We start from the raw sequence: 24121 nt of genomic DNA, 5'->3' as shown, positions 1-24121 counted from the left end.
TATGTGAATTTTATTGAATATAAATTACGCTTCAATAAAGTTATTTTTAAAATGATGTGTACGTCAGGCACAGTGGCTCACAACTGTAATCCTAGCATTTTGGAAGGCCGAGGAGAGCAGATAACCTGAGGTCAGGAATTCAAGACCTGCCTGGCCAACATGGTGAAATCCTGTCTTTCCAAAAAATACAAAAATTAGCCAGGCGTGGTGGCACATGCCTATAATCCCAGCTACTTGGAAGATGAGGCACGAGAATCATTTGAACCCGGGAGGGGGTGGTTGCAGTGAGCCGAGATCTTGACAATGCAGCCTGGGAGACAGATCGAGACTCGGTCTCAAAAAAAAAAAAGATCAAGTATAGAAGGTCCCCTTCTCTGATCAGTCCAACTTGGAGCCTGAGGTAGACAGATAGGGAGTTGGACCCACAGAGTACTAGTAGCTAGTATTTGCTGAGTGCTTCCTGTGTGTTTCACACAATTCTATTGCTTTAAAAGCATTTACTTATTTAATCCTCACAACAACTCCAGGAAGCAGGCAGGTGTAATTTTAGCCCCCATTTTATAGATCAGGAAATCGAGGCACACAGCTAATAAATGGTGGCTCTGGGAATTTGAACCTAGGTAGTGGGATTCCACCATCTGAGTCTTTAACCACTAAGTGTCATGAATCAGCACGAGAGAATCAACCAATAATAACAGGCACATGGGGCTCACGTTCTGCGTATTGATCACTTCACAGGACGCTGGCCTCACTGGATCTTCATTTCATTCCCCCCTCATTTTTCTTTCCAACATTTAGAAAGCCTGGGTCACTTATAAGCCTAAGTGGCCTTTATTATTGCCATTATTTTTAATCAGTCATCACCTTGTCTGTGATTTCATGTTTGGAGGTCTCCAGACACAAAAAGGAATCCATTATGGAGCTTCCTGAGTTTAAGAAGCCCTCTTGTCTCTTGTGATGATTATACCACCTGCCACAGTCCTGGGCTCAAGATGAGTGCTTAATAAATACCTGCTCTTATTTTAGGACCTACTCTCCCACCTCTGGGCTGTGTGATTGCTTACTATATTGGGAGCTGAAAGAGTGGCATTTGCCCAGGGTCATACTCTGTCATGACACCTCAGGTCTAGAATTAGTGGTTAAAAAAGAAATTATTAGGTCACTGCTATTCTCTATCAACAAAGCACAGGATGATAATACTCAGAGGAATTTCAGGGGTATTCAAGCTTTTTTTTATTTCTGGAAAATGCAATGTAATTAATATAGTTTACATCTACCTGCTTTCACTAAATCTCAAGAAATTCAGGAAAGCTCTTGTTGACCATAGAAGGTAAGTCTAACAATTTCTGGGGAAAACATATGATCAAGGCATTATTTCTGGGAAAATTAAGTGAATAAATATATTATTTTTTTAAAAGTATTTCTGTTTTGCACAAGTATTTATTAGTAGGACTATATGGTCTAGTAAAAACAGCCTGAAGAAGGCATTATACTTTTGGATGTCTCCTCAATGCAGTTGATGGTGCTCACAGTCCCAAGGCTTTTTCTGAGTTCAGCGCTTTTCCATTATCCTCCAACAGCAGTACATTTTAAGAATACTCAGAATTATCCCAGCTTAGAACTGGAAGCAACACTGAAAACTCACCTGATGACATGCTGTTCCAATCACCCATGTCTTCAGAAGGAAGATGTCTACAACTTGTGCCACGTTACTCTCCTCTTCTCTGCCCTGACAAACAGCTTGACACCTCCTATGACATGAGTGTATTTCCTATTTCAGTCCTTTGCCAGTATCAACACAATGCGGCATAGATGAAGAAACGGACTGGTGGCTCGTGTCGCGTGGCTCGATGCCTGGCAGATAGTAGTCTCTGAATAAATGCTCTTGATCAATGGCATGTCTGAGTGAAGACAGAACTTTTCTATCATCATCAATATCATCTGCTGCTGCCACAGACCACAGTGTTTTGTGAGCTTTTTGTGAGAGGCACAGAACCATTTCTCCTGGCTAATGTTTGTATATATGTATATATATACCAACAAGTTTTTCCCCTCCCGATGTGATTCTGTATATCCTTGGGGTCATACACCACATAGTCTACTGGGGTACCCCCAACAGAAATGGCAACAACCTTGGTGGCTCTGAAACGTTCCCAAGCCAAATATTAAAAAACAAAACAAAACAAAACTAAACTAACTAACATGCAAGAGGGTGCTCAAGAAGTCAGCTGACTGAAAATTACGCATGATTCAGAGGGCAACTGCCATGGTGAAAGGTGAGCACGGCAGGCATCTAAAGGCTAATACTCTAGGGCGAATACAGTTGTACCCTCCCATTTTGCAGGTGAGGAGGCTGAGGGTCAGAGGTTAAATGACAAGGTCACACAGCTGGCCAGACTTAGATCCCTGGTCTCCTCACCGGCAGGCCGGAGTGCCTCCCACCCCATCACAATTCCTGAGGTGACAACAATACTATTTGCCATCAGGTCCTGCCACCCAAGGGGCTCACAACTCTTGAAACATAAATAAGGCAACAGGCAAACTATGAACTACTCTCAATCTCTAGAGCCAGGCAGGGCGCCCTACAGCCCAGAAGCAATGTGATTCCCCTCGGCTCAGGAAGCTGTGTTCTCTTCCAAACAACAGAAACCAAGTCCTGGAGGGAGTTATCCCGACTGGAAAACAGTCTGAACTAGATAGCCTGGATTTGCCTATCTCTAAATTAGGGATAACGTCCCTGTGTTTCTAGACCACTGGGCCGATTCATCAGCTAATCAAGCTCTTTGAGTCTGAAGGCCTTGAACGGATGCTGAATATTGCTTGTAGTTGGAGGTAACCCTAACATTTATCACTGCCTCCTACATTTTGTTCTCAAATCAAAAAGAGACCAGTTCGTGACTGGAGGAATGTGTGTGTGCCTTAGCACACATGTGACGTTCCTGTGTGACTGCAGGCATTCTTTGCCATGAGGACTTTTTACCTGCTGTATCTAGAACACTAAATAATAGAGATGTTCCCAGTTCAGCCACATACTGTTGTTGATACTCAGTAACCTCTCAGTGAAACTCCACTATAGCAGAGGCGGGAACCTGTGAGTGTGCTTACTGTGTCCATCAGCTCACTTTGCCGCATGGCGGGCCTCTTCCCTTCCTATCTGGTGCGGTGGCTCCTGCCAACCCACAGGGTCCCTCTCCAAGAGGTCTCGGATGCTGGGAGCTCACAGGGCTGCACAGGTAGAATCTCCTCCTTATCCATGGCACCCCCATCACTCACTCTTTGTAGATTGAGAAACCGAGGCAAAGCACCTGGCAGGGCAACAGAGAAGTCGCAGCAGGGTCGGGACTCTGAGTGGGCCTTGAGCTGCTGGCCCAGGCGTCTTTCAGGGGCACCTGGGAGGATGCCGGGAAGAGAGTTGCTTAACTGGGGATGCAGCAGTCAAGGGGAAAGACCGTCCACACTGGGAGATCAGGAGACACCGGGGGAGAGGGTGGGCCTGGCAGGTGCTAAGGGGCAGGGCGGGGCTGGGCGTGGGACCCACCCTGTTCTAAATTCTGTTTCTTAGAGGCAAGCCTCCTGCAGTGTGAAGGGCCCCCCGCCACCCCCTGCTGTCTCTGGCTGCCCTCCAGGGTGCTCTGCCCCATCTGCAGAGCACAACCCCAGGCTGCCTGGGTGGGAAGGCGGGGAGCGGGTCCTGGGGCTTCCTCCCTTCTGGGGAGGCTGGGAGACCTGGGGGCAGCAAAGATCAGCAGCCCTGAGGGTTCCCTCACCATTGCCATCAGAGTCCCCTTGCAGACCGTGCAGGAAGCAAGGGTCCTGCCCACCTGCCACCAGGTCACTCTGTGACCTTAAGGAAGCCATGTGGCCCTCTGGCCTCAGGGCTCCTCTCTGCAGAATGGAAGCTCAGTTGTACTAGCCTAGTCCCCTCCCACCCAGACATTCGGATTCAGGAACAGTGCCATGAGACACATACAGCGGACAAGGTTTGAGTACTTCCTGTGGCAGTGAAAGAAGTGGGAGGGAAAGGGCTTAGAAGATGTTGTAGGGACCATCTCCGATGGGCGGGCAGGGGGACCAGGCAGCCTCCAGCGCTGTGTGAAGGAGAATGAGGGACGGCCTCAGGGGTGGCCCCCTGCACATGCCCCTGTCCTCATAAGTAGCTTTGTAAGTGTCCCCTCATGTTGTTTAAGGGTATGTGGCCTGTAAGACCCCTATAAGACAAAGGGGATAAAAAGCAAGAGGAAGCAAAATAGAAAGTGAGGGGAGAATGAGGGCCAAGTCCAAGGACATGAGAGGGGGTGAGAACAGGGGTGGAGAGGCTGAAGGTCTGCAAGCAGTGAGGGTACAGCCTGGTGCGGTGGGGATGAGCATGTGGGAGAGGGAAGGGGATGCAGAGGCCAGCCAGTCCAGGCCCTTCAAGCCCCAGATGCAGGACAAAGTCCAGAGGGAGGGCAGACCTGCCCAAGGTCTCCAGGCTTGTCCGGGTGAATGCAGGGCTGGAGGCTGGGTCCTCTGCCTACCCAGGCTTGTGCTCAGCTGCACCAGCAGCATCCTGTGGGTACTTCAGTGTTAAATCACATCAACCAGAATTAAAGGAAGTCTGGGAACATGAGGACACAGGCAGTGGAAAAAGCAAGGGATGGGGAGTGAAGCACTGTGGTTTGAGCCTCTTCCCTGACTCTGGGATCTTCTCTGGGACTCCAAGATATGTCAGTTTCAGGGGCTGAGTTACAGGATTTTGAATATCTGCTCCAGAAAGATGTTCTCTTATCAGTCCAGACTGGGAGGTGTCCTTAACTGCAAGCGAGGTTCAGGAGCTGTTTGCAGGGACCATGCCTGCTGCCTAGCCTCCTCTCTTGCACAATGCGGCACCAACTGGGCCAGAAAACACTTTCCTGGGAGCCACGATGGGATTGCAAATCTGCTGTGGCTCAATTTACCAACAGCAAATTTCAGACAGGACAGCATGAGTGGCTTTAAACCATCAAAGTGTGAAAACACTCAGAAAAGCCGCTTTTAGCAGCCCTAATGTGCCCTCAGTGGGTCTGATTAACTGGCACCGCTTGCTAATCAGTGTGGCCAGTTTCACGGTGACTAATCCCCAGGAGGGGAGAACCCATCCTGGGAGGAAAACTACATCTCGGGATGCGTGTGGTTCACCTGGGGACTTGGCACTCAGGTGAGTTTTCAACTTCTGCAGCAGCAATTTTTAAGTCAATATTCATCGTATCAGTAAGAATGTTTTAAAAAAGAGTGTTTGGTGTCAAGCAGCATAGGATCTTCTGGCAGGGCGCTCAGGACAGAGCAGGATGGCCCAGACCTGGCCTCTGGGATGGAGGTCATGCAGGGTGGGAGAGAGCGGTGACAGCTTCGGTATGGCTCTGACCTCAGCTCTGCCACCAGCCCGGGTGGGTTCGTGAACCTCCCTGGAATTCAAGATTCATGGTCAGTTCTGACCTTCTTTTGTAGATTTCCAAGACACTTAGCTGTCTCTGCAGTGCGGTTTTTTTGAACGTTTTGTATGGAGAGTGAACAGCAGTGGCTGTTTAGAAAACTGCCTCTTGGTGTGCCATCCAAGACCCAGCTCAGTCTGCTCACTGCGGACTTTTGTCTCCTGGCTCTCACGACCCATACTTCCTTTTCGGTAATGGGTTTGGGCACCCCACACCTATGTGCTGGCCGAGACTGGCCCACATTGGTGACCTAAACAAACAAGGTTTTCACCCTCAGATGTCCTTCCATCCCCATCCCTGCCTGTTCCACATAAACCTCAGGGCTTATCTCCGGTATGTCCTCCTTCATAAAACTTTTCAGACTGCCACAGTCCCTGGTAAACTCTCCCCTTGAATCCATTTCATCATCTACACTATGCAAGTCAAATAATCATACACATGCCTCTCTGGTGATTTTTGGTCTCAAACTGCTATTTAACTCTTGAATATTCCTTATCTTTTAAAGTATATTTGTTGTCTCTTGAGAATGATCTTGTCCTCTATTTCAGTCTACATATGTAATATAATATAATGTAACAGCTACCACTTAACTGAGCACTTACTATAAGCAGGACACCATTAAAGTGCTTTGCGTGCCTTAACTCATTTAGTCTTTCCAACAGCATATGTAATACGTTCGATTACAATTCCCATTTTACATAGGAGGAAACTAAGGCACAGAGAGGCTTAGCAACTTCCCTAAGGGTACAGAGTCAGTAAGTGGCAGAAGCCAGTAAGTAGTCTGATTCAAGAACTCATGTTCAAAACCAGCATGTTGTAAGGCTTTCCTTGCCTTCTATATGGTATCCACTCCACAGATATTTGTCTACTAACTGGTGCTGATTTGCTTTCAGGAAACAGTCCTCACCTGAGCAAGGAAAAATTGAAGCTTCTGACCTCTATCCACACATGGTCCTCAGTGCTCCTTCTCACCTCTCAGGATGAAAGTAAACTTCCGTTTAATAGCGAGCTGTTTTCTATTCTGTGTGCTTCCAGATATAACATTTTACTGACAAAAGGGACATCCTGAAAGATCTAATCTTGTAAAGACTCACATACTAGGAAAAACGTATCCCACGAAAAGTCCTTAAAGCATTCCATTAGGACTAAATCAAAATCACATTAACCAGGATTAAAGGGAAGTCTGGGACGATGAGGACACAGGCAGTGGAAAAAGCAAAGGATAAAGAGTGAAGCAGTGTGGGCTTGAGCCTCTGCTCTGATTCGGAGATATTCTCTGAACTCCAAAATATGTCAGTTTCAGGGACTAAGTTACATGATTTTGACTATCTGCTCTAGAAAGATGTTCTCTTATCAAGTCTGGACTGGGAGGTCCAGATCTAAAACCGGATGGTCCTTATGAAAACTGGACAGGTGTTCTGATTTGACTGATGGGAGTGCACTATCTACCTCTGTCCCCGCACCTAGCTTTGTGCTTGGCTCACAGAGAGTGCTCAATAAACATTCATGATGAGTGTCTTCCAAGGCTAGTGCTGGTCTTACAGAAAGGTGATTTTTCAGTTCCTTTCATCATCAGATCAAGTCTAGGTTGCTCTGAGTTTTCGTCAAAGACCCTACACATCTTTCTCATCTCCATTTGACTTCTCCCTTTATCAAGTCCCTCCTGAAAGTTCTTCTCCAGAAGGCATATGAGATGAAATGGAAAGCAGGAAACGACCCCTTGCTTACTGCTTCACAAGCAAATGTACTCCTTGCATATACATTGCAAATATTTAACCACAACTCTCCCTATGGTTCATCTGGCTGTATAACGTTGATTCCTCCATATGGCTTAGTCTTTGGTGTAATACGCATGCTCCACAGCACGGCTGCAGTGGGAGAGTGGATGCTCACAGCAGAGAGAACTGATTCTGTTACTGTAGAAGAGTCTCTATGAAGCCAAATGGCCAAATCTTTCAACTACACAGAACCCCATTGGAAGAGCCAATCTGATTTTCACCTCTGCAGTGTAATCAAGCCGTTAGCCTTGCAGCCTCACAGTGTGCATCTCCAGGGCCACGGCCACTCTCCTTCCTTTGTGTGATTTCCTGGAATGCCTCTCCTCACTCATCCTTCAAGTTCCATCCCAAATGCTACCTTCTCCAAGAAGGCTCTCCTGATTCTCTATCACCACTCCCCAAAGTATGGTGTCCCCAATGCATGGCTTGTCACAGAATTCATCACATTGCACATCTTACCTAAACTTTCCTTTTTGACAGCTCCAATTTTTATTTATATAATCATTTTTATGAATATTTTTTCTTCTACTACACTTCAAGCTCTCTAGAACACACTTAGCATCTGACTCACTTCTGTATCTGCTATAATGGCTAACAAAATCTTACATAAAGTAAGTACTCAGTCGATTTTGTTGAACAAATTGATAAATGACTCATGGACTTGTACCCTCGCAATCATCTATTTCCATAACCTGTGATCATAAGATTTCAATGACATTTAGTACATATATGTGCATTTAAAAAATGCAACTTTTAGGCCGGGTGCGGTGGCTCACGCCTGTAATCCCAGCACTTTGGGAGGCTGAGGCGGGCAGATCACGAGGTCAGGAGATCGAGACCATCCTGGCTAACCGGTGAAACCCGTCTCTACTAAAAATACAAAAATTAGCCGGGCGTGGTGGCGGGTGCCTATAGTCCCAGCTACTCGGGAGGCTGAAGCAGGAGAATGGCGTGAACCCAGGAGGCGGAGCTTACAGTGAGCCGAGATCACACCACTGCACTCCAGCCTGGGCGACAGAGCAAGACTCCGTCTCAAAAAAAAAAAAAAAAAAAATGCAACTTTTGGGGCCTCTAACACTATTGGTCTAGAATTGCAGATGTCAAAAATGGCCCAATGAACCTATTTGTTGTAAGAAAAACCCTACATATCTATATATTGCCTATGTACATTTCTTAATATCACCCAATTGTCATGAAGATCAAATGAGACAGAAGAAGTAAAGACCCTTTGGAAAAGCCAGCAAAGGCACATGTCCAGGAAGCTGGCACCACTCACATCATTTTAGTGGGTGGGGTGGCTCTTAGGGCCTGTGATGTGAAGCTATGCCAGCCGCCATGGGCGTCCGTGTAACCATGTTTGCTCATTCTACAGATATTTATCACCTTTATTGTCGGTGCTGAGGACACAGCTGTGAACACAACTAACAAAAATTGTTAGCCTCACGTAGGTTACATTCTCATGAGGTAAGGGGTGATAAGCAAATGAACACATACACATACAGAATGGCAGATGGTGAGAGGTGATGTGGGGAAATGGAGCAGGGAAGGGTGGATGAACGGGGAGTGAGGGGATGGCATCAGCGGGGGCCGAGGAGGTACGCAGGCCTGTGCAGAGAGCTGAGCCAAGGGGCGGGCCGAGGAGGTGCGCAGGCCTGTATGAGAGCTGAGCCGAGGGGGTGCCGAGGAAGTGTGCAGGCCTGTATGGAGAGCTGAGCCGAGGTGGGGGCCAAGGAGGTGCGCAGGCCTGTGCAGAGAGCTGAGCCGAGGGCGTTCAGACAGAAGGAGCAAGTGCCGGCCACCACCCCACAGTGGGGTGAGCTTGGAATGTTGGAGGAATAGCAAGGGAGTCACTGTGGAGGGCTGGTGAGGAGGGAGAGGAGGGGAGGGTGAAGGGGGTGAGCTTAGGGAGGAAGGAGGCGTGAGATCGCAGGGCCTATGGGACTTTGGCGCTCACTCTGGGCAAGTCAGGGAAGCCGTGGAGGGTCCTGAGCAGGGCAGGAACATGATCCGACTTGGCTGTTCAGAGGGCCGTTTGAATGCCGTGTTAGGTCCGGGCCATGATAGGGGTTGAGGCAGAGACTCCTGCAGGAGGCTGTCGCCATCATCCAGGACGGAGGCGAGGGCGGCCAGCGCTGAGCTGAGTGTGCAGGTGGTAAGAGACAAATTCTTGACATGTTTGGAAGGTAAAGCTCATAGGATTTTCTGATGGATTGTAATCAAAGAGTGAGAAAAAGAAATAAGTCCAATAAGGCCTGAGAAGCTAGAAGGATGAGGCTAGCATTTACCAAGCTGAGAAAGACTCTGGGAAGACTGTGAGTTCTGCCATGAGTCTTGCTAAGTGCAAGATACTTATTATCTATTCAGACAGGAGAGGAACGGAGTCGGCAGGTAGGGATACAAGTCTGAGGTTTGGAAAAAAGGTCTGGGCTGGTGACACACAGCTGCTGGTTACTGGAAGATACATAGATTATATTTAACACCAGGAGGCTGGACGTGATAACTAGGGAGTGAGTACAGACAGAGGAGAGGTCTCAGGATCTACCCCTGGAGCTTCCCAATGTTAAGAGGGTGAGAAGATGAGACAGAAGTCAGCAAAGGATTCCAAGAAGAAGAAACAAGTGAATGAAGGGCAGAGCTAAGAAAGAGCAGTGTGCCAAGGGCCAAGGGCAACGGTGGTTCAAAGACAAGGAGCGATCAGCTGTATCCAAAGCTGCCAACAGATCATGTAACATGGCCCTGGAGGACAGAGCACTGGGTGCGGTAACGGTGATCACTGATGGTCTGGACAGGAGATGTTTTGGTGCAGCAGTGGGGAAGAAAGCCCCATCAGAGTGGATTCAAGAGAGAATGGGAGGACAAGAATCACAGACAACAGGTAGAGGCAACTCTTGAGGAGTTTTGCTGAAATACAGAAAGAGATAACCTATGGCTATGAGAAGTAGAAGACGGAGGCATTTGTCTAGGTTTGTAGTCAGGGGAGATACTGCTGACATCTTTGTAGATGACACCAACCACACTGGTACAGTGCACTGATCCACCATGGTCTGCATGGTTCCCTGTTTCAAAAGCTGCACAGACACTATTCCAGCAAGAAAGGGCAGAAGGCTGGATGAGCTGAGGAAGAGCCACCATTTTACTGGTGACCCAAAGGAAACCAGACACCGTTGCTGCTCCTATGCATAAGCATGGAGCTACCTACAAGGCACCCACAACAGCAAATCCATCTCAGTGTCATCATCTCTAATGGCGAAAATATTTTCCTGGACTGCACGGCAGGTAACATGAGGGCCTTGCATTTGAGGCCTGCATCCTCTTGAGAGAATTCCTAGGAGTGTTACTGCTTCCTGACCACTACAAGACACGTCTACCTTACTTAAGTGCAGATGGAGACAGGGCTCCGTCCTCGGGAAATTTCCTCTGTAGTGGAAACCAAGTGACCCGATCTAATCTAATTCTTCCTTTTAATGCACTGTAGCATGAGTGGCTCTCAACCATATTCATCTCTAATTAAGAATCTCTGTACTAGAGCAATTACTGTAGCTACAGCTGTTGATAACAATCATCTCCTCAGTCTCTTTGTGGTAGGCTGCTATGTGTTCTCAATCGTTCACCCATGCTTCTCTGCAGGTACAGCACACTTCTTGGCCCCATTATCTTTGAGGGTGGCCATGTGACTCGCTTTGGCCAGTGGAATGTGAACAGCTAAGACAGAAGCCACATCTAAGCATAAGCCTTAAGTTGCTAGTGCGGTTTGGCTCTAAGCCCCATTTTGTGAGCACCTCCCCCAGCCATGACAACCACAAGGCCTACCACCGAAGGTGAGGGCTCCTTCGACCTGGGCTCCAGAATTGGATGGCACGCAGAATGTGGTCAAGCCCAGAGTCCAGCTGAGTGCAGAAGAGCTGCAGCTGACCACCACCCTCAGGTGCCATGAGCCAGGTGTAAATGTTGCTGGTTGTAAGCCATGCAGAGTTTGAGATGGTTTATTTCCACAGCAAAAGCTGACTGTTATACTCTTTTCTTAGACTGTCAAATTTCTCTAGTGAAAGGACCATGCTTGTTCTTTATGATACGTCCTAATACCCCTAATAAAAATTGCAGGCCCCTAATAAATACATAGATAACAGGTCGGGGTCATTGTGTCCATTTCGCTTGGTTGGCTGGCATCTGGAATTAACTCCCAGTTGCTATCACTGACACACTGGCGGTACCATTACAAGCTCCTTAAAGTCATGTTCAAAGTCACTGTCATCCTCCCTTCCTACTTCCTGATTTTGGCTATTGAGTTCTGGCTGATTGACCAGGAAAACCCAAATAATTTAGGCTTCAAAAAGAAGTGGGTCCTGGCCACGATATATGCAGTTTCTATACCTAAGTACCCCCAGACAGTTAAGGCCGAGTAGAGAAAGTCTGCTTTAATTGTGCTTGTGTGCTCAGCTCTGCGTGCCTTTTGAGCCTAAGACAGGCCACAAGCTTTGCCCAGGGAGTCCCACTGCAAAGAAAACAAACTCTTTCTTTTGCTTATTCAGTAAGTTCCCTTTGCTTATGTTGTGTGGGAATCAGAGGCAATAGAAGGCACAGTTCTGGGTTTCAAGGGGCTTATAGTGTAGTTTAAGAGACAGGATATATGTGTAAAAATCCAAGACAATTGGCCGGGCGCAGTGGCTCATGCCGGTAATCTCAGCACTTTGGGAGGCCAAGGCAGGCAGATCATGAGGTCAGGAGATTGAAACCATCCTAGCTAACATGGTGAAACACCGTCTCTACTAAAAATACAAAAAAAAAAAAAAAAAAACACACACAAAAAAACAAAAATTAGCTGGGCATGGTGGCAAGCACCTGTAGTCCCAGGTACTCAGGAGGCTGAGGCAGGAGAATCGCTTGAACCTGGGAGGCGGAGGTTGCAGTGAGCTGAGATTGTGCCACTGTACTCCAGCCTGGGGACAGAGTGTGACTCTGTCTCAAAAAAAAAAAAAAAAAAAAGAAAGAAAAAGAATCCAAGACAATCAAGAGAGATATACCACTTAATTCTTTAAAAGAGGCAGTGCTGTATGGCAGGAAAGAGCTGGTCTAGAAATCAGGAGACATGATTCTAGTCTTGGCTCTATTGCTAGTTAATTAAAGTCACAGGAAGATCTTTTCACTATTCCGTGCATGAACAAAAAGTAAACTGGTTAATATAAAGTCCCTCACATTTCCACGGTTTCATGACTCCAGATGATACCACCCAGCAGCACACCGGTAACCAAGTGCTCAGTGCATGCCATGGGTAGGAGAGGCTGTGCATTCGGAGGTCCTCTGTCTTCCTGTCCCTTACACCATCTCCAAACTCATCTGGTCCTAGCCTAGTCTGAGGGGTCTCCTATGTCTTGAGTCATGGGCCAAATCTACTGGAGCTGAACTGAAAGCAAAATTTAAGCAAATGAGTCCAGAATTGTTCTCAGATACCACAAACTGAAGAGGGAAGAGTAGAAAGGAGTTCTAAAGTGGACTGAGCTCCCAGGAGCACCTTGGGCTGGGGTTTGCTTGCGCCTTCCCAGGGGGCCTGAAGCCACTGTGTTCAGTACCTGGGGTGCACCCATAATGGGCCAGGCTTCTGGAGAAGTGGCAGAAGAGGCATTGTCCATGTGACTGACATCCGGATAGGCAATACCTCTCCAAACCCTTCCCCTGATTCAGAGAGCGGAATATCCTCCTCTCTTTGGGAAAAATAAGTTCTCACAATGACAGGCGTGGTATTTCCAGTAGGGCTCCTGAGGCCTGGGCTGCCCCATTTGACAGGAAGGGAGGAGAGGGCTGGGAGAAAGGTCAAAACAGAACTTTTAGAACATCCACTGATGCTTTCCTGATTGTTCTTTGGAAAAACACAGAAAGTAGAGATAATCTCATTGGCTAAAGTGCTCTGGAGCCTCGGAGATTAGCCACCTGGCTCTTCTGCTACAAAATGTATTTAAATCCCCATCCCAGGGCCTCCAGGGTGGCTCAGATGGCCACTTCCTTTATGTAGGATTCATGTGGCTGAGTGACTGCTGTGAACTTTCTCCAGGAGTTTCCAGGCGCTGGGACCACAGTGTGTTTTAAGGCACTTACATCCGAGTTGGGCTCTTCAGATCAAAGGAACTCATTTTAAAACAAAAACAAAAACCCCTCCATTTATATGGAATCAGGTCCCTTTGCAGAGTGTTCTTGGCAATTCAGCAAAGGACAGCAGAAGGTGGTGAGGAGATAACACTGTACACAAGAACGGGCTTCACTTACTTGGGACTCCGGACACCAGCCGCAGGGGGCGCAGCACGCGGAAGGCCCTCAGCGCCTTCACATCAAATCCGGCCCCTTTCCCTCCGAGAGCGTTTGCCCCATCTGCTTTGGTTGCTTGTTCTAAAATTGCACTAAAAAGCCTAGAAGAGAGGAAAGAGAGAAGGACTGTCAGGACTGGGTTTTCTTTTGCCCAGCTGGGGCTCTGACCTCTGGATACAGCCCGGAAAAGCAGATTGCGCAGGCGTCTCCAGCCCAGGGGCGGGCGTTGTGGGTGTGCGTGGAGTCTGTGGGTGGTTGTAAGCTGACATCCCCTCAGTGTGGGTGGTGGCCATGCCCAGGGTGCCACCATGGCCCAGGGAGGCCTGAGCGAGCTGAGGGGCAGGCCCTCTGCCGTCATAAAGGCAGGAGCTGGACAAGCGCTGGACAAACGTGGGAAGCAGGTGAAGTCTGTTGCCAGTCCTTATCTCCTTGAGGAGCCCTCCGGCTTCTCCATGGTATCCTAGCGCCCCTCCCAGGTGTGCCAGCAACCATGTGCTCTGTTTCCCCACCTCCTTCCTTCTAGATACCCCCCCTCTTTGACTTGTTCCTGGCCCATGGAAATCTCCTTTGTGCTGGCCTTGGTGGCTGCTCAGGAGGTGCGTGCTGCGCAAATGAATGAATGGTTGAGTGGTTAAACAAGAAGGTCTCAAGTGGGGTAGAACCACACGTGCACGTAACTGAGACACAGGGCTTTCAGCCCTGCCACTTTAGGTCTGAGCTGGCATATTCACTCCTCCAACAAACAAGAACACCTGCGGTGTGCCGGGCACTGTTCCAGACACTGGGGCTATAGCAAAATGGACAAAGCCCTTCCCCTCATGGAACTTGCATTCTAGCAGGGAGACAGACAATAAACTGAGCAATCAGTAAACAGACACTGCAGCTTAGAGTGATGAGTGCTGAGGAGGAGGAGCGGGGAGGGGCTCTGCAGAGACAGGGTGAGGGCCGCCTTCCTTCCCACCTGAGAAATCTGCACAAAGAACTCCCTGCAGGTGACACTTGAGCAGAGGCCTATGGGAAGTGAGGGCGGGACCCACTTCACTATCTGGAGACTGTTCCAGGCAGAGGAAGCAGGTAAGCCAGGGGCCCAAGGGAGGGGCAGGGTGTGCGTTAGAGGAACAGCAGCGACCAGTGTGGCTGGAGCAGGGCAGGGAAAGGGGAGAACTGTGGGAGAGGAAGTCGGAGAGGAAATAGGGAACCCCACCGGGTGCTGGTATCCTCTCTGAGACAGAAGCCATTGGGGGACTTTGAGCAGGAGAGTGACATGATCTAACTACAGGTCTAAAAGAATCATTCTGCTGTTGTGGGAGACTCCCCTGTCGGGGGCGAGGCCAGAGACCAGCTGCGGCAGTCATCCAGGCGCGAGACACTGGGTGGCTCAGAACAAGTGGTGGTGTTAGAGGTAGTGAGGAAAAGTTAGATACCAGATTTACCTTAAGATAAAGTTAGTGGGACTGGCTGATGGACTAGATGTGAGGTGTGAGAAAGAGAGGGGAATCAGAGAAGATTCCAACAGTTTGGGCATGAGCAACAGGAATGATGAGATATGGCGGAATGGACATTAAGCGTTCTGCTGAGAACTTCTTGAAGTTTGAGTTGTTGCTTGGACATCGAATGCATGTCTTGAGTTGGTTCTACTGTGTCTGGAGGTCAGTGGGGAGGTCCAAGCTGGAGACAAAAGCGCAGCAGTTGTATAGTTCATATTTAAAGTCAAATTGTATGTGACTACCTAGGAGGCCAGTGCAGAAGGTGAGGATGTGAAAGCACTCAACCCTGCAGTGCTCCCACATTGAGGGGTCAAGAGAGGAGAAAGCAACAAAACAGACTGATGAGGGATGGCTTGCAGAGCAGGGACATGGAGAGAACGGCGCCCCATGAAGAGAGCGGTCAGTGAACAGGCGGTGGTGTCACGTGCTGCAGAGACATGGCTGGACACCGACCGCTGGGTTTAGCAACACCAAGACCATCCAGACCTTGAAGGCATCTGTGTTGGTGGAGTGATGTGGACAAACACCCAGCAGACATAGGTTCAAGAGAGCATGGGAGGAGTGGGAGGCCGTGAGGATAGACAGCCCTGGCCAACAGAAATCTGATGCAAGCCACAAGTGTGGGCTGCATGTGTAATTTACCTTTGCTAGGAGCCACATTAAAAAGTAAAAACAGGTGAAATTAACAGTGATCATAGATTTTATTTCACCCGACATAGCCAAAATATTATCATCTCAACATGTAATAAATATAAAAAATCATTCATGAGACATTTGTCATTCCTTGTTTTGTACTAAATCTTTGAAATATGCTGTATGTTTTATACTTATAATTATTATTATTGCAATGCAGATTAGCCACATTTCAAGTGCTGAATGGCCACGTGTGGCTACCGTATAGACAAGTCTTTTGGGAAATTTTGCTCTAAATGAGCAGAGAAAAAAAGGGGGTTACTAGAAGTGGGCGTGGAGTCAAGAGGGTTTTGTTTCTGAATGGGAGATATGACAGCAGTTTTCTATGTGATGGGAATCATCTAACAGAGGCAGAAAATGTGATGACATAGAAGCGAGAGGGAACCATTGCTGGAAGGACGGAGCTCCTTCACTGGCAAGAAGGGGATGGGTGCACAGAAAGGGTGCCACCCGTGCAGGGGCAGGGCCGTGTGGGACGGAGCTCCTTCACTGGCAAGAAGGGGATGGGTGCATGCGAAGGGCGTCCACCTGTGCAGGGGCAGCGCCGTGGGTCGTGGTTCAGTGAGAAGGCGCATTGTCAGCATAGACGCGTGGTTGTGGGAATACATGAAAGTTTCTTCTGATTGCATCTTTCTAAGGGAACTGGGGAACGAGGCCATCAGCTGAAAACGTGAAAGGGGAAGGAGACGGGAAGTGTGACGAGAGAGGCACGGGTGCTGAAAGAATTAGCTCAGAAAGCAGAAGGGTGAATGGAGTGCGGACAAAGCAGGAGGGCCCTCAGGTGTCACCGAGGGCCTCCTTGAGGTTGGAGGTCATGAGTGTAAAGTGAGAGTCTGCTCAACTTTGCAGATTTCTTGACCCTTTCCAGGTACCAAGCAGATCTCTGGTTGGACTTGATTAGGGTTGGTGTTTTTCCAGGTGTGCAAGATAAACAGACAGAAGACTAAGAATGCTGAGCATAAATGCAAGTGAGTGAGGGCAGCAGTGGCACATGGCGTCTGAGCTGGCTGGAAGGAGGGTGGACATGGTGGCAGGGATGAAGAGTGCGGTGGGACGAAGGGATCGTGGGAGTCAGGGTGAGAGAGGGAGGGGACCGGAAAGACGGTGGTGCTGGTTAGAGGGTAGGATGTTAGATTTGGGATTATGGGGGAGGTGTTAATCAGTGGTGACAGGGATATTGGCTATAGCCATGGGATTGGGACTACTGAGATAGGTTCCCCAGAAGCCAGATATCCAAGAACCAAGAAGCTACTGCAGGAAGGTGGAGAAGTGAGTGTCGGAGTGAAGTAGAGCGAACCAAGAGCCCTTGTCCTCAAGGCACAAGGAGGGGTGACTCAAAGGTCTGCAGAAGGCTGCAGTAAAGAGAAGTAAGGCATAGAGGATCTGATGACACAAATGTCAAAACTGGAGGGCTCCAGGGAGGTGGGGGTGCAGTGGAGCAGAAATCAGGAGCTGGCAGGGCCCCCTTAGACCTGGCAACCTGGTGCAGTGGAAGGAGGCTTCTGGGAGAGGAAGTGGCTGCCTGCTGAGAGACAGCAGAGAAAGCTGCACCCTCAGGGAGAATCAGGAAGTGACCAGAAAGGAAGCTGAGAACTGGGCCACCTGTTTTGCAAAGTTTTGTTGGAATTCAGTTACACCCACTCATGGAGATGCCACTCTTGTCCTGCTGCTGGGCAGGGTGGAGTAGCTGGAACAGAGACTGCATGGCTTGCAAAGATGAAAACCAGCATCCGGCCCTTACAGAAAAGTTGGCTGACCCTGAACAGGCGAGGGACTATGGGGATGGGAGGGCACAGTGGGAAGGTTTCTGCAGCGGGGTGGTGAGAAAGGAGGGATTAGATCAGAGGATGCACAAAGCCCCATGGGAACAGGAGTCCGGGTGATGAGGGATGACTCAATAATTTTGGGCTTTTCGTGGCAACCAAGAAAAATAGGGAAAAGGGCGTGCAGGGTGATTTCTGTCCTTTATACCCAGAGAGGATGCTACAGATTCATTGCCACAGAGTGCACTACACGCTGGGTCGTGTTTCTTCAACAGAGGGGCGTGGGATCAAGGAGGGAGCCCAGGTATTAGGAGTGGGTCTCCATATCAGATCTAAACTATGAACCAGGACAGCTTTCATTCAGGAGCAATAGGCTTGAGCTCTTAAGTGACTTATGCCCCAGGTATCTGGATCTAGAAATGGGAAGCTGCAGCTGGGGGATTAGCCAGATGCATTAGCAGAAGTTCAGGGCCAGGCAGGGCTGAGCGATGAGGGGATTGGTCTAGAAACGCTCCATGGAGGCCCCCAGGCACAGACTGGCTGCGTGACTGGCGTTCTGGCTCCTCTAGTCCAGAGGAGCTTCCCTTCTATCTGGTCTGTGTCTTGGACCTCTGAGCGAGACTCTCAACAGTGGGTTCTGCAGCCGAACGAAGTTTGAGAACCCTGTCCAGGCCGTATCTGCAGTGTCTCTCAGCCTGGCAACTTGATGGCTTCCTATGTTAGCTGGTGAGGCCTTGAATCCCAGGCAGAAGTTGCCAGGATGGGGGAGTGGGCTTCTTTCTCCACAAGGGAAATGTTCTTTCCACTGAAGCCTAGATCACTGAAACCTGAGGAAATGGAGACCAGTTTGCAAATTTGTCAAACAACATTCCAAATGCAAACCAGATTTTGTTCCCAGTATTTCCTGCAGGAAAGTAATATGCTGATCGGAGTAAAAGAGGTTCACAAAATACTATTCGGTGAAGGGAGTGGAGATTAGACAACTTGCCTTTAACTCCTGCCTCAAGTTGAGACTCTTTATTAAGTATCCGCTTTTAATTCTGAAAGGGTAGAAAATTCAAACATGGGTGTAGGAGTGGCTGGTGTATTTCTCCTCAATGAGACATTCTAAAGGCAAAACCACTGCTTGGTGCCCACTGGTCCCTGAGGGTTGGGCTCTGGTGTGGACGCCTGGCCGAAGGACTGCTCTGGGAGCTGTGTCTGGCAGATCTGTAGTCCGGCAGTGGAGCTTTTAGAAGAAAAGGACCGTGAGGCTGTGGAATGATCGTGAGGCCCAGAGAATGGGAAAGGCAGGGCCTCCACCCTGCTAGGGAGGTAGGGATGCAACAAAGCCTCACTGGCTGGCGTGGAACCTCCTGAGGATCCACTGAGGATTCCACGGTCCCTCGGTAGGGGCACGTGGATCTGAGGCCGCCACAGTCCCTCTGTGTTTATTCAGCAATCCCACCACCAAGAGGCCTCTGCTTTAGGAAGGAAAGAAATGCCACGTGTCTTGTGCCACCAGAATAGCAATGCAGAGATGAGGCTCTCAGCCTGGCACTCAGGCAGTAGGCAGGCAGGTCCACCTTTCTCTAGGGTGAGTTAGGCTCCCCCAGCTTTGTGGGAGGCCAGGAGAAACCTTCCCCTACAGCTACAGAAGAGGGGCCAAGGATAGCAGATATTTTCCAAGAGACACAGGGAAGCAAAGGGCTACCCATTTAATATTGCAAAGGAAGCAGAAAAAGGAGATGAGCTGAAGAGAGGTGGTAAGCTGCACCCTGCAGCGATGGGGGATTGTTACAAGAATGGGCTGATTTAGACAGGATGAAGAGCCCTTAGGAGAAGAGAGACTAGGTGCCAAATATGTCCCAGTGCAAGACCAACCACGAGCTGGGCAACTGCTGGCATCTTAACCTCTGTGGCTTAGAAACAGGAGCACACAACTGGATGCCTCCCTCTCTTCACCAGCCTCATGGCCTAGGCCCTAGGGAGATGTGACTGGAATCTGGGCTGACCCCAGAAAAAGCCTGGCCCCTTGTGGTTGTGTGGAGGAGTCTAAGGGATGAAGCGGGTCCAGACAGACCGCAGGTGAGGCACCAGGTGTGGGCCAGAGATGCACCACTGCACTGCCTCCCTGTCAACCCAGGCAGGGCCCCTCCCTCCCAGGGCTCCTGTTCGGTGCCTACTCACCCTGTATTTCTTGTCTCTGCTCCCCCGACTCATGATTTCATTAAGACCACATATGGGGCAAAGCACATATAATCAACTCCAACTCACTTCAAAATTCCAAAATTTTGCCTAAACAAAATTCGTCCCTGCAAGTCACCCTCATCCCTCCACTGGTCCCAGAAGCATCTGCTCTCATCATTCCCAAGGCTCTTTTCTATGCATGTGCAAAAGACTCCCAGGAGACTGAGGCCTTGAGAAAGATGCCAAATTCTAAAAAGGATTTAGGGGCATTTGGAACAACCCACCTTAAGGACTTTTGCTATGGTTTACTGAGTCATTCAAGGCATGCGTTTAGCCACTCTTTGTTTATTCTGGCATGAGCAGAAGCAGCAAAATCTCTCCTATAGCTGCATGCACACCCCGAGTGCTATGAGCCAGAGCTAGACCTGGCTAATGATGCTAATAACCTTAGTGCACCTCGTATCACCCAAATATTCCTGAGGTTCATGTGGCCAAAGTGCGTCATTCATTGGCCAGGCAAAATAAGGCAACAACAACAACAACAAAAACCCTAACGTGGTTCCAAGCAACCTTATGAGCCATCCAGATGGCCAGAGACAAGGAAATAACTTGCAAATGATCTCGACGTCCTCCTGCGTCATTTCCTGCAGTAAAGACCAGGCACTCTCACAAGATGGTGAACGGCGGGTGCTCTGGAGACGTCCACAATGGCTGTGTCTCCTCCGGGATGGCACAAAAGGATCCTCCAAAAATAGGCCTCTGGGATAAAGAGCTCCTGACATTCTGACCTTGACTCTGCAGACTGCCAGGACTTCAAGAGAGGGAGAGTCCAAGGTGGCAGCCACTTGAGCACTCACTGGGCTCAGAGTAACAAGGGATTAGCCCAAAGGAACCGGCTTCTTCTCAAGGTAAAATCTGCTGCAATGGGCTCCCTCCTATTACAAGACAGATGTGTTGATGGAACTTCATCACCTGCGTTTTTTTTTTTTTTTTTTTTTTTTTGAGATGGAGTCTCGCTCTGTTGCCCAGGCTGGAGTGCAGTGGCATGATCTCGGCTCACTGTAAGCTCCGCCTCCCGGGTTCACGCCATTCTCCTGCCTCAGCCTCCCGAGTAGCTGGGACTACAGGCGCCCGCCACCTCGCCCGGCTAAGTTTTTGTATTTTTAGTAGAGACGGGGTTTCACCGTGTTAGCCAGGATGGTCTCGATCTCCTGACCTCGTGATCCGCCCGCCTTGGCCTCCCAAAGTGCTGGGATTACAGGTGTGAGCCACCGCGCCTGACCTCACCTGCATTTTAATAACTTACACTTCACCAGTGTAGGTAGGCCTGTTAGGTACAAATATTTTATGGAGATTCTTTTTGTGAGGTTAATAACTTATTTATAAGGAGATCTCTTCTACATTTTATTTAAGATTCTTTGCATTGCTGTTTTGAAAGCCTAGACTGACTCTACCTTATCTTATGCTACAGTGGAGCAGGGTGTCTGGGGGAAGCTGCATTTGATTGGGGTTTGGTTACCTGTCATCTTCGCCTTTCATAGTTCCCTGTTTCCTTCTCATCCACCTGTCTTGAGCAGTCTGGTTTTCTGGGGCCACAGAACCAGGCCCCCTGTAGAGTGAGAATGGGGAAGAGGCCTCTGTACAAGTCCAGAGCACAGGCACAGCCTGTGTGCGCCCCACCCTCACCCCACACCTGCAGACTGCATGCTCACGGACGAGCTGCCCCAAATGTGCTCAGTGATACAGCAGGGAAACTATCAGAGGAACTGCGGGGCCAGATGTGGTCTGAGATGAAACGAAAGTCCTTAAGCAGGGGGATATCCTACAGCAGCACAGAGCAGCCTGGGTTCCATCAGGAGCACTCAGGTCCAACCGTGTGTGCATGCTGTGTGGGAGTGGTGGAGAGGGGTGCTCTTGGGTCATAGCCCCTGTCCCTCTGGGGAAGTCTGAATTCAAAGTGATTTTCACAGATCCTTTCTTCTTGCCTGAAGCCCAGCATAGTTAGGACCAAATTGAAAAGAGATAACACAGAAGGAAGAAGAGGGATGTACTGGTGAGACAGCCAGGTGGGGAGGGGTCCCCAGAGAAACTCCAGCCAGCCTGCGCACTGGGAGGAGTGCACACTAGGGTGGAACCACGGAAGTTCACGCCACCAACTGCAGCAGGGAGAAGCCTGACCCCTCCTTTTCCTGGGTAGAACCTTGGATTCAACCTGCGAGGCGGGAAGCCCATGGGCAGGAAGCGCACTCTCTCACTTTGCTGAGTCTCTCTTTCCCTTTCTGTTCCTTTTAGCAAAATAAATCTCATTTTTCTCACTCTAGATCATCTGCGAGCCTAAATCTTTGTGGCCGTCTGACAACGACCCTGTCTTCAGCTGACTTAAGGAAAAGTCCCGCAACACTGGTAAGATAAAGGGAAAGAAACAGACAGTGATACTTACCCCACAACCACAATTATAAAATCTAGTAGGTTCCAGCCGTTGCGGAGGTAGGCATTGGGGTGAAAGAGGAGTCCATAGGCGATTACTTTTAAAAACGCTTCCACCGTAAAAATTATGAGAAAGAGATATTCCACTCGTTCCTAGGAAACAGAAATAGAAAAGAGAGAAAAATAAGTCATTGGTTTGGGGATTTGGAAAGTTTGGAACCAGTAGATCTCACAAGTAGGTGGAAGATAATGCTGCCCCCTCTGTGGTGGAACCAAGTGGGGACACCCAGGCCAAATTAGCAACTCCACGACCTGCTCTACCGCGACAGCACCAAGCTACTGGGGATTACAGGATTTTTTTTTTTCTGCATCAAAGTTCCCCCATGAACATGTAAATATTAGACTAGTGGAAAAATTTCATATTTTTTGAAACATTTTATTTAGTTAATCAGTTGACATTTTATTGTGCTCTCCCAGAAGAGAATTCATAGTGTCTCCATCTAAAGGGAAACAATGTCAGGGCCAAAAGAGAAGGGGATAAAGCACAGCTCCTGGAAAACCGCGCTCCGATTCTGCAGGAACAAGCCCTGAAGACAGCAGACTTGGTCTTGGGGAGGGTACTAGCCGAGTTCCTCCAAAAGACAGAGCAAAAATGCAGCCACAAAGAAATGGAGACGGTGAAGATCCCTTAAGAGCAGCCCAGACAGAGGCAACCTGCTCACATACACCGATCCAGAAATGTGAAATCTCTTTCTTGAGAAAATAAAACCTTCTGTCCAAAGACGTCGAACATTTCAGCAGAGAAAATCAGCACTTTGCGGATGGAGGCAGGCACTGGGTGGGAGTGGAGAATGGAAAGAGCCCCTCTCTTTCCTCAAGGGGCAGAAGACAATCTTCTTCCTCCCCTGCCACCTTGAAGAAGGGCTTTGCATTTAAGGATGCAGCTCCCATCCCTGGGAGCCCAGAGCGAACAGGACAAACTTGTTGGCTCAATTAGAGCCAGCCGACTCTGTGCTGATTCATGCACGTCCCTCGCCACTAATTGCTTTCTCCCACACCCCCATCCCAAGTGCAGAGCCTTAATGGCCCCCACCAGGCAAAGGCTGCCTGGATGCCTTCATGCTCCACTGCTCGCCTCTGCAGAAGCCTCAGCCATCCCTCACTGGAGCCACGAAACACCCATCCACATTGCATTCGGGCATAGGCCCTCCAGAGTGCGGCGGGCCTGTCCACAGCCCCAAGTGGGCACTCGGCTCAGAACCCCTAGACCCATTTTCCCCTCCTCTGCGAGTCAGAGGGAGCTCTGGTGTGTGCATGTGGGAGCAGTGGTGAGGGGGTGTTCCAGGCTCACCCACATTCTGGAGGAGGGATGTTGCCCACAAAGGCCCACCTCCTCCTGCCTAGCCAGCTGGAAGGTTCCTCCAAGGCAGGGCCATCGGGAGCAGGGCCAGATGGGAAGCTCTGCAGGGAGCCATCAGGCCATATCAGTACCCTGGGCTCCCATTCATTCCATCACAATCCCCTGGGCATGTAGGGAGTGCCAGCCTCACTGTGAAGCAGTTTGAGGATGCAAAATTAAAAACTGTAGAATTCTGGGCCCTACCCAGACCTACTGAAACAGATCATCTGGCTATGAAGCTTGGAAATGTGCATCGTAGACAATTTCCAGGTGTTTCTGAGGTACCCGGAAGAACCACCAGCTCACGTGTGGATGAAGGCCCAGATCACGCCGCGGCGTGGGAAAGGAGTGCAGGGGTCAGATTTCATCAGCATCTCAGAGGCAGATTCGTCCTTCCCTTCCTGCCCATTTTTGTGCCATAAAATTGGTTTAGGGAGGCAGCTGCCTTGGGGTTGTGAACCACAAACAAATCACAGGACGTGGGAAGCTCCAATCTTTTAAAGTCAGGTGATGTTGGGTTAAAATGTACATCAGGGCAATGTTGAAGAAGAAAACATGAGACAACACAGCACAGGGGAACCTGAGGATGTTTGTGGGAGTGGGAATAGTGGAGCTGTCACACAGCCCCTTAGCCCATCTCCTTATCCCCAACCCATGA

The 24121-nt window shown here is 49.3% G+C and overlaps 1 protein-coding gene across 56 annotated transcripts in view; it reads right to left on the bottom strand.

Annotated features, from left to right (window-relative positions):
- The window catches only part of CACNA1C (calcium voltage-gated channel subunit alpha1 C), a 727171-nt gene that overhangs the window by 226758 nt on the left and 476292 nt on the right, over positions 1-24121 (bottom strand). For all 56 annotated transcript variants that reach the window (XM_017019926.3, XM_017019934.3, XM_017019946.3 and 53 more), the window contains 2 exons: positions 22078-22217; positions 13487-13626 (listed from right to left, as the gene is read on the bottom strand). In XM_017019926.3, coding sequence (XP_016875415.1) covers positions 13487-13626; positions 22078-22217 — 280 coding nt within the window. The remainder of the gene's footprint in view (positions 1-13486; positions 13627-22077; positions 22218-24121) is intronic.

This window comes from Homo sapiens, chromosome 12 (genome assembly GCF_000001405.40).
Source record: "Homo sapiens chromosome 12, GRCh38.p14 Primary Assembly".
Lineage (NCBI taxonomy): Eukaryota > Metazoa > Chordata > Mammalia > Primates > Hominidae > Homo > Homo sapiens.
The sequence above is the reverse complement of the archived record's forward strand: the minus strand, read 5'-3'. Positions and strand labels throughout refer to the sequence as shown.